Source organism: Homo sapiens, chromosome 15, assembly GCF_000001405.40.
Source record: "Homo sapiens chromosome 15, GRCh38.p14 Primary Assembly".
Lineage (NCBI taxonomy): Eukaryota > Metazoa > Chordata > Mammalia > Primates > Hominidae > Homo > Homo sapiens.
Window position 1 is genome coordinate 32,462,910 of NC_000015.10, and position 10,535 is coordinate 32,473,444.

At 41.3% G+C, this 10,535-nt stretch overlaps 2 long non-coding RNA genes across 2 annotated transcripts in view; one reads left to right on the forward strand and one right to left on the reverse strand.

Moving 5' to 3' along the window:
* LOC124903456 (uncharacterized) overlaps positions 1-5,539 on the forward strand; it is an 11,925-nt gene extending 6,386 nt beyond the window's left edge. Inside the window, exon 2 of the long non-coding RNA XR_007064570.1 lies at positions 4,428-5,539. This is a non-coding gene — a long non-coding RNA (uncharacterized LOC124903456). The remainder of the gene's footprint in view (positions 1-4,427) is intronic.
* On the reverse strand, positions 1,856-10,535 carry LOC105376710 (uncharacterized). The gene is made up of 3 exons (XR_932073.3): positions 10,493-10,535; positions 10,161-10,244; positions 1,856-6,456 (listed from the first exon to the last, which is right to left on the reverse strand). It is a non-coding gene; the product is annotated as an uncharacterized LOC105376710 (long non-coding RNA).

A 10,535-nucleotide genomic window follows, 5' to 3' on the forward strand; every position in this document is an offset into this window, starting at 1 on the left:
TAATATAAAATATATCTTATGGTTTATGTAAAATTCTTAATAAAATACCTTCTTTGCTCCTAGCTGCACTCTGGCTTTGCCTTTGAGTCAGGTGGCATTTCTTTGCACGATGACTGGTTTTATTGAGTAGGCACTGCTTCAGCCCTACAGGAAGAACAAAACCTCTCTGGAACACAGCAGCATTCCTGACTCCCACTTGAGGAGGCCTAACAAAACGGCATATGCCTCAACAGCAGCAGATCAGTGTTAAAAAGTCTGGAGTCAAGGGGAAAAAGTAAAATTGGACCATTTCCAAAATCTCACAAAAAGCAACAAACTGACGTTCTAAGTGCCCAACATGAGCAAATTAGAACCTTAAATAAAGGTCACTCTTAATGCCTATCCCAGCATAGATGCAGCACCAAGTACAGTGTCATTTTACTGGTTTACCTTTTTCATTCTTGAAAGTAGGAGCTATGAAAAAAAAACACTAAAATTTCCCTAAGAGAACCTTCTACTTTCTGTCTAACTTACATAATCAAAACACTCTATTGAGGGTGAAAATTGAATATTATAAGAAAATAATCACGTGTTTTGCGAGAAGTTGCAAATATAATGCTCCTCCACCCAATACCTACCTTAAAAAGAAAAAAGGAAACATACAAAATTATCTCGAGAATTATTCCTGCTTAAACAATGTCTACGTGCCATTACTAAGAAAGTATGCACACAGTAAAGATGAGAAGAGAACATGCAAGCGTGAACATACTTGTTAGGGATATAGGACTATGGGTAATTTAAACATTTTAATGGTATTACTCTCATGTAATTGCTCTGAAATTCTAGTCAGTTGTTTGAAATGGCTCTTAGAACAGAATACTTTGACATTTTTATGATGTCAAAAACTAAGAACTTAGCCCTAAATATTCCAAAGAATAGGTGCAGAAGAACCCGTTTCCTTAAACGGCATTTGAGTATTCTTCACAACTCAAACTTTCTCTCCCATCCTGTGATGGCCAAGAGTTTTTCCTCTGACGACGGCACTGACCTTACCCTATCCAAAATATGAACATCTGCATGGTTTCCTGGTTCAAATTGTTTTTATCCATTCTGTCGTGAGAATCAAATGGTTCAGACCATGCAGCACCTCTCTGGGACTTCTCAAGTCCTTTCTAGATCTGAACACTATTCTCTGAACCAAAGACAACTTCTGGGGGTGTACCAAATCTCCCATTAGAAAATTATTAAGATCAAGATGTTTTAACCTTTTAACTCTTTCTCAAACAAAATAAATTCGTTTCTCCTTTACTGTTATTTTAAATTTCAAAATACACAGATAGTATGTCTAAAATAAAATCAAGAGAATGACAGTTTTAGAACACAAACTGTGGTAATTTTGAAAACACAAAAGCTAAGACCACTAATTAGGTCTATGTGGACACCAAGTCCACCACAACCTGTTCTGTCCTCCGGGGCTCTGCCCACGCCTTTCCCTTGCCTGAGATTCCTTCTGCTTCCTACCCTTCCAAATGCTGTATTTCCCCCTGGAAGACTTGCCAAGACCACTCTAACCTGCACATCTCCCATTCCAGCTAACCAAAGGCATCCTTGGGTTGACTAAACCAAGTTATTTTGCAGACAAGGCATCTAAACACTTCCACTGTAGACTATTCACCTTAATAATTGTTATTGTGACATTATTCAATAATAAAATGAGGGAAAGAAGTCCTCTTCAATCCCTTATCCTGGAGAACCCAAGCAAGTGTCTTTCCCACTTGCTTTGCCCAAACCCTGGGACCTTTCTAAGTAAAAGTTTAATGGAAGGGAAAGAAAATCTAAAAGAAAAACTCTCCAAGAAATTAAACTCGGGCAAAGATTCATGGGATTAAAAATTTTTATTCTTTGTGTATTTGATTTCCGAAACATAGAAATCTCTCTCCCACTCCTTAAACCTGCCACTGGGCTAAGAGAGTATTGTACAGAATATGCACTCACTGACTTAACAGAATTAGAACATCCAGGCACTCACTGAGATTTTGCTTCCACAACCGCTCAAAGTCTAGTCATTAGTTCATGAGTTAACACCACACTTGACCTTCAAGTTTTGGAAATGCTGACGGTAGACAGGGACTTGTTTTGGGAAAGGAAGTACACAGTAGACATTGTTACCCATGACCCAACCACCACCACCTTTCCTTTAAAGAACCCCACTCTTCCTTTAAGGTTGCAGAGTCTCAGAAAGTGGGAAGAAAGGAAGTTTTTGCATTTTCAGGTCAAAACGAAGTACATTTGTGCAACCACATAATGCCCATGCAAAGGTTTCTTGAAATCTAAACACAAGACAGAAGTAGTTCTAGCACCTCCACAAAAAGTAAGGTAAGTAAGTTTTTCCTTAATATACACTTTCAGCAGCATCAACACCTAAAAGTGGTTGACTTTACTACTGTACTAAATTAAATTACATTCATTTTGTCAATAGGTGTTCCAAATTCGTACTGATCTTTGTCTCCAAGGGGTTCCTGCTGAATATTGAGACAGTTGAAGATTACTAGGGGAAAAAATTCTTAATAATCGAAGTAAGGATCATCTAAGGATAATATGCCACATATACAGACACAGTCACATTTTCAGCTTTACAAAAGTTCAGTTATCAAAGTTGTACAGCAAACACTATCCTAAGCTTAGCGTCTTCAGGCATTTGATTTATAATCACTGTAAAGAAAAATCAGTCACAAAATGCCACTGTTGTATGATTCTATTTATATGAAATGCCCAGGATAGGCAAATCTACAGAGATAGAAGTTAGATCAGAGGTTGCCAGGATCAATGGTGGGGGAGAGAGCTACAGGGAGTGACTGCTAGTGGGTACGGGGTTCTTTTTGGGGAGATGAAAATGTTCTGAAATTAGGGAGTGGTAATGGCTGCATAACTCTGAATATACTAAAAACCACTGAACTGTACACTTGAAGGGTGAGGCTTATCATACAAAAACTGTATCACAATAAAGCTCTTAGTTTAAAAAATGTTTGTCTATGTCAAGAAACAAAGAAATAGGGTCATAGCTAGAAGATATGGGATATAAAATACTGGAACAAAACTGCTTAATAATATATCTAGAATCACACAATGCTTAGTCTTTACGCTGACTAAAATCACGAGATTTGTGTTTTATCGGTATTTCACATTTTTTACTTCTTCTAAGTCAGCCAGTAATTCCTCCTTCTCACTTAATCGTTGACTACAAAGACCAAGCCATTTTGACTCTGCCACCGATGAGCTTTCACATTTCTTTCCTCCTTCCATTCCCATGACTACCAAACCAGTGCAGGTTCTCCTCACTTCACTCTAAGACAACAGCGTGGCCCTCAAATACTGTCACACTCTTCAAGGCTCTGTGAGCACAATCTGTCTCATATTCTCTTCTGCTGTCACCAGATTTATTCTAAGACCGTTTCTTCACTGTTACTCCCCTGTTTCTCAACCAGTTACACAGAAAGACGAATATCCAGGCATGGTGTCATGTGCCTGTAGTCCCAGCTACTCAGGAGGCTGAGGCGGCAGGATCGCTTGAGAATGTGAGATTCAGACTGCAGTGAGCCATGATCATGCCACCGCACTCCAGCCTGGGCAACAGAGTGAGATTGTCTCAATAAATAAATAAGTAAATAAATAAATAAATAAATGAATAAATAAATGTGGTCTATCCATGCAACGGAATACTATAAAATTATCAGCCTTAAAAAAGAAAGAAGCCCTGTCACATGCTGCAATATAGATGAACCTTGAAAACATTACACTAATTGAAATCAGCCCATCACACAAAGACAAATGCTGTACAATTTCTCTTACATTAGGTTCGAAATTAGTCAAACTCATAGAAACAGAAAATAGAGCGGTTGTTTCCATAAGCCAGGGGATAGAGAAATGGGGAGTTGTTGTATAGTGGCTATAGTTTCAGTTCTCCAAGAGAAGCAAGTTCTAGAAACTCGTTACTCAACATGTATATTTTTAACACTACTGCACTGTATACTTACAAGTGGCTAATATGGTAAATTTTATGTTGTGCCTTATCACCATAATGTTTTTAAAAGAAGGGGTTTGTGTTTCCCTTCGTTGTGATCACCCATTTTTCACTTCAGCATTTTGAACTTGAGATTTCCTGTAGCGGTTTTACTGAGCCCTGCAGTTACCGGCTCAGAATGTCTCCACCGCCTTGTAACCTTGTAGGCAGACACTTTTCAGCATCTTATTGGGCTCCGTGTGCTTGATGCTTAAAGTGACATGGAGACATGCCACTTGCTGAGAAGCAAAGAAAGGCAAAAGGTGACTGCTTTCCTGGCATCGATGAAGGCAGAGAGAAGGGATCTTGGAGGCACAGATATTAAGCCATAAGCAATAACATGGGTTGCCAAAAAGAGAACTAACCCCTCTCCTGGTAACATTTCCAGGTGTTTTTCACAGGGCCAGTGGATTTCACAATGTGAGTGCTGTCCAGCACCAAAGGGAATGGCCAACAGGCATGGAGTAGCCTACAGCGTCCAGCACCCAGTAGGATGGCCAGGAGGCACGGAGCAGCCTGCCTGTCCCAGGAAAGCAGGAGTCACAGGACACAACTGGACCCAGGTAGGCATGTATGTTACTTTCCTGTGGCTGTTAGAGCAAATTACCAAAAATGTGGTGACTTAAAACAACAGAAATTTATTTTCTCACAGTTTTGGATATCAGAAGTCCAAAATCAGTATCACTGGGCTGAAATCTAGGTCTCAGCAGAGCCAGTGCTCTCAGAGGCTGAGGGGAAAATCCATCCTTTGACTTGCGCAGCTTCTGATGGCTGCTGGCATTCATTGGCTTGCAGCTCCACCACTCCAGGCTCTGCCTTCTTGGTCACAGGGCCTCCTTCTCTTCTGTCTGAAGTTAAATCTCCTTTATCTCCCTCTTATAAGGATATATGTGCCAGGATTTAATGCCCACGGAGACAATCCAGGATAATCTCTCCTCAAGATCCTTAACTTAATCATACCTGAAAATATGCTTTTTCCAAATGAGGTAACATCTACAGGTTCTAGGAGTTCCAGACCAGCCTGGACGACATGGTGAAACACGGTCTTTTTTTTTTTTTTTTTTTTTTTTTTTGAGCGGAGTTTCGCTCTTGTTTTCCAGGCTAGAGTGTTTTCCGGTCTCGACTCACCGCGGCCTCCACCTCCCGGTTAGGTGGTTCTCCTGCCTAAGCCTCCTGAGTGGCTGGGATTGCAGGCATGAGCCACCATGCCAGCTAATTTTGGTGTTTTTTTTTTTGTACAGACGGGGTTTCTCCGTGTTGGTCGGGCTGATCTCAAGCTCCTGACCTCGGGTGATCCACCCGCCTCCGCCTCCCTGGGTGCTGGGATTGCAGGCGTGAGCCACCGCGCCTCCGGTCCAATTTAGTAACCAAAAAGGAATAGATCGGCCTGGCGTGGTAGCTCATGCTTGTGATCCCAGTACTGTGGACGGCCGAGCGCGGCGATCGATTGAGCCTAGGACTTCCAGACCGGCCTGGGCAACGTGGTGAAACACTGTCTTTTTTTTTTTTTTTTTTTTGAGTGGAGTTTCGCTCGTTTTGCAGGCTGGAGTGCAGTGGCGTGGTCTCGACTCACCGCGGCCTCCACCTCCCGGGTTTAGGTGGTTCTCCTGCCTCAGCCTCCTGAGTGTCTGGGATTGCAGGCATGAGCCACCATGCCAGCTAATTTTGGTTTTATTTTTTTGGTACAGACGGGGTTTCTCCGTGTTGGTCAGGCTGATCTCGAGCTCCTGACCTCGAGTGATACGCCCGCCTCCGCCTCCCTGGGTGCTGGGATTGCAGGCGTGAGCCACCGCGCCCCCGGTCCAATTTAGTAACCAGAAAGGAATAGATCTGCCTGGCGTGGTGCCTCCCCCTTGTGATCCCAGGACTTTGGAAGGCCGAGTGTGGCAGATCGCTTGAGCCTAGGAGTTCCAGACCGCCTGGGCAACATGGTGAAACCCGGTCTCTGTTTTGAGACGGAGTTTCACCCTTGTTGTCCAGGCTGGAGTGCAATGGTGTGATCTTTGCCCACCGCAACCTCGGCCTCCCGGATTTAGGTGATTCTCCTGCCTGGGCCTCCCTAGTAGCTGGGATTACAGGCATGAGCCACCATATCCGGCTAATTTTGTAGTTTTTTTCTTTTTTTTAGTAGAGACGGGATTTCTTCATGTTGGTCAGGCTGGTCTCCGACCTCGGGTGATCCGCCCACCTCTGCCTTCCAAAGTGCTGGGATTGCAGGCCTGAGCCACTGCGCCCGACGGAAACCCAGAACGGAAAACAAAACAAAAACCACAAAGATTAGCCGGGTGTGGTGGGCCGCGCAGGTAGTCCCAGCTACTCTGAAGGCTGATGGAGGAGGATTGCTTCACCCCGGCTTCTAGGTGGCAGTGAGCTATGATGGCGCTGCTGCACTCCAGACTGGGCGACAGAGCGGGACTCTGTGGCAGGAAAAGGGAAAGGAAAAAAAAAAGAAAAAGAATGTAAATAAAATTGCTAACTCAAGGAACAGCTTGACAGTATATTATTGCGACAAATAGAGGCAAAGGTTAGCAGACACCAGTGTTCACTTAGTGGGACCTGCGGGTGTTCCCCCCATAGGAGGCTGCTACTTTCCCACAAGAAATCCATTACTGACTACCGATAAAAGAACACATCGTTGGTTTCTTACAATATACAAATAGCTAAACTTTATATAGCCACGACCCTCTTCTAGCACTGCTCTAAGCCTTTTCCTGCTCTGAAATAGCTACTATTGTTACCTCCATTGTAGAGAAAACAGGTGCCGGAGGCTGTTGTGGAAGGCCCAGGGAAACTGACTATGAAATTGACTTGTTGTAAGTTTCAGACTTAAAAGTTCTTCCTGCTCTGCGCCTTACATTGTTACATTTTAGTTAAGGTACCTCTTACAATACTGGTCCTTTCTGTATTTGGAGGGACTTCTCTTGCAAATTGAAGTTTTTTCTTGCGCTAAGCATTTGGTCATGAGATTATCTGCGTTTTACATCAGTTTAAATACCTCTTTAGACATTGTTCAGTTAGGAATGTAAATAGGAGCTAACATTGTGTGTAAAAGGAAAGAACATCTGATTACAACCACTTTTGTTTCATAATACAAATATAAATCAATATGTTATTGGAAATGCAGGCTGGGAGGGGAGGGAAAATATGCATAGAGAAAAGCCCCATCTCTGCTTGGAGTTCAGCACTGGGTCTCTTTTTCCTTTCCACCTTCCTTGTCAAGGCTGCCACAGTGACAAGCACACAGGGGTGCCTTTAGTGACACCTGCTGCGACAGACCTGGCAGAACGGATTGCAGATTTGCATGTTTCCTGGCTGCCTCTGCTAGCCTGAGTCAGCAGCCCACTCCAATTCATGCTGAGCTTAGACAGCTCAGGTTTGCAAAATTATCCCTTCCCTTGGAGCAACCGCTTTCCAGTCTCTTCATCATTCCTAAAGGAGAATGACATACATGCCAGCATGACAGAGGTCCAGAAATTTATAGAAGCTTCATTGTGAGCCTATATCCTTAACAGGGGTTCAAACTACCAACACCGAATGAAGAGAGAGGTTTTGCAGTAAAGCAGGAAGTCATTAAAATAATGAATCACCCAGCTAGGTTTTGAGCTCCTTTCCCACCAATTTAATGGAAAGTTTTATTGTCTTTACAATGTACACTTTCATAAATTTTGCATAAATTTATTATTCACATCTTAACATAGGTAACTCCTTAGTGTTTGATCACTGAGCAAATTATATGCAGCAAAACAATCCTATATTTTGGTGAACTCATAGCTTAGAAAATACTAAAGACTCATTGTAAACTGAGGGCAGCATTAAGCAAATTATATTTACCTTTGTGACTGCAAAACTTAATGATTCAATGCTTTTCCCATGAAATTTATCTTCCAATACTGATAGTTTTTTAAACAAAAAATATGAATTAAATATCAATTAAAATTTTATCATTGTTTTCAGAAACTGTGACTTCACTAGTTATGAACAGACTTGAAATGTATAGTTTTTAAGTTTGGAAATTCTTTGTAGTCTCATTTACTTTTCCAGGAAGGAAGTGAGATATTTTTTGCCACTGTTGCCTGGTTTTTGTTTGTTTTTTGATCATAAACAAAACTTAATGGAGCCTCAAATCTACTAACTCGGTCCTCCTCTGGCAATATGCCTTTTTCTGATTTCTAGATATCACTTGATATTTTTTAACACACTAATTTTATTATTTAAAAATTTATAAAAGTACTCAGAAGTAAGAGGCAAATTAAATTTGAAACCTTAGTGGTAATACCATCATCCAAAGTCATCATCAATAATATTTTGGCATATTTTATTTTAAAATACATTTCAGCACAGTTTAGTTATATTTGTTATATCTGTATCAATAAACTGTTTTCATATGTCATTACTTTTATGGATATAATTTTTGACGTGCGACTAATATGAAATCTTATATACTTGCTATAGTTGACCTTGTGAGACATTTAGATTTTCAACTGTTTAGTACTTTAATAACCAGTTTTTATTCTAATATCATTATTAGAATAATAATATTACTATAGTATTATTATTATTGTAGCAATAACTTGTTTTTAGAATAAATATCCTATTTCTCATTTAACTTGATCGGATCCATGCATGGACAATTATGTTGGGAACATAGAATGTAACTGGCCCTGTTTCAACCCCTTAGATGTGGCCCTCAGTTCAGGGAAGGGAGGAGTTCTCTACTGGGCTGATAAAGCAGAATTCAGAAACATTGTTTTCTTCTCTACCTGGTGTCTTACAAAACCAGAAGATGTGAGTGTGACTCGTAAAGGCAAGAGCATGTATATTATGCAAAAGCAGCCTGAAATATTTTATTCACAGACAGACAGACAATGCTTGACTCCCTGCTAATCTGAAATACTTCGTGGGGAGGGCCAGGGAAATCAAAACAAAATTTCAGAAGTAGAATGAGCTATTTGGTGTATGTCTCCAAGGCCAATAAATAACAAGAAGGAAAAATAAATTTCTTTGCTAACAACAAGAAGGAGAAATAAACTTTTTTGCTCTAAAATATTTTCCAATTATCTCCACGACACTGGAGGGAAGGACTAACAAAAAAAAAGAAAGAAAGAAAGAAAAAAAAAAAGAAAAGAAAAAAAAGGTGGGGCATGGTGGCTCATGCCTGTAATCCCAGCACTTTGGGAGGCCAAGGCGGGTGGATCACAAGGTCAGGAGATCGAGACCATCCTGGCCAACATGGTGAAACCTGGCTCTACTAAAAATACACAAAATTAGCCGCAGGCACCTGTACTCCCAGCTACTTGGGAGGCTGAGGCAGGAGAATGGCATGAACCCGGGAGGCAGAGCTTGCAGTGAGCCGAGATGGCGCCACTGCACTCCAGCCTGGGGGACAGAGCGAGACTCCATCTCAAAAAAAAAAAAAAAAAAAAAATTAACCATCACAGAGGAGCAGAGAAAAACCTTCTCAAAGACAGAAGTCATTGATTTATTTCCATCCCGGCACAAGCCCCTTAATTCTGTAACTTGTCCAGAATGGTTTCCTGTCACTGTAGATTCTGCATCAGAACATCCTCTTATGCAAAGCTAAAAAACTCCAAACCACCTCTGTTAACTGTGCGGTGCTCCATGGTTTCACACAGTCCAGAGCTGCTTGTGTTTATCAAAAATGAAGCTGAAAACAAAATTCTTCCTTCACACAACCACTACATTCCATTGCACATTTACCAAAGACATTTACCACATTGGCATTATTTGTGCATCCATCAAGAAGTGCTGAAAAGCATTCCCCTCACACACTGCATGTGTCCTGTGAGTGGATCTTCCATTTTACTTGCCAGTTCTGGAAAACTTTGAATTTGTGTGTCGATGGAAAATTAAAGTTTAGTGGCATCTTTGCCCCACATTCACCCAACTTTTCTAAGGAACTATTTCAATGCTACTTTTCACTAGTGTCACTTTTCAGTCTTAGCCTCCTGGAGTACAACTTTATTAGAAGCCCGCAAAGCACTAGTGTTAAAATGAGAAATAGTAAACATCTGATTCTGTTGTGTTTTAACTCCATGCTTTTCTCTAATGTTTCATTGTTTTGAATTTAATTCTTTGTGCTTCCCACGTGAATGCAACTTACAGTTTGAATGTCTTCTTTCTTCACTAGCCGATGCATCTGTGCCAGTAACACATGGTGATTCTGTCCTTTCACCTTCAGTTATGCCTGTAAAACCAAATTCAAGACAGATGATCCTCAACTCACAAAGGAGTTATAGCTCATCATCAGTTGAAAATATAAGCCGAAAATGCATTTAAGGCCGGGTGCAGTGGCTCAGCCTGTAATCCCAACTCTTTGGGAGGCTGAGGCAGGTGGATCACCTGAGGTCGGGAGTTAGAGACCAGCCTGGCCAACATGGGGAAACCCTGTCTCTACTAAAAATACAAAAATTAGCCAGGCATGTTGGTGCGCACCTGTAATCCCAGCTACTGGGAAGGCTGAGGCAAGAAAATCGCT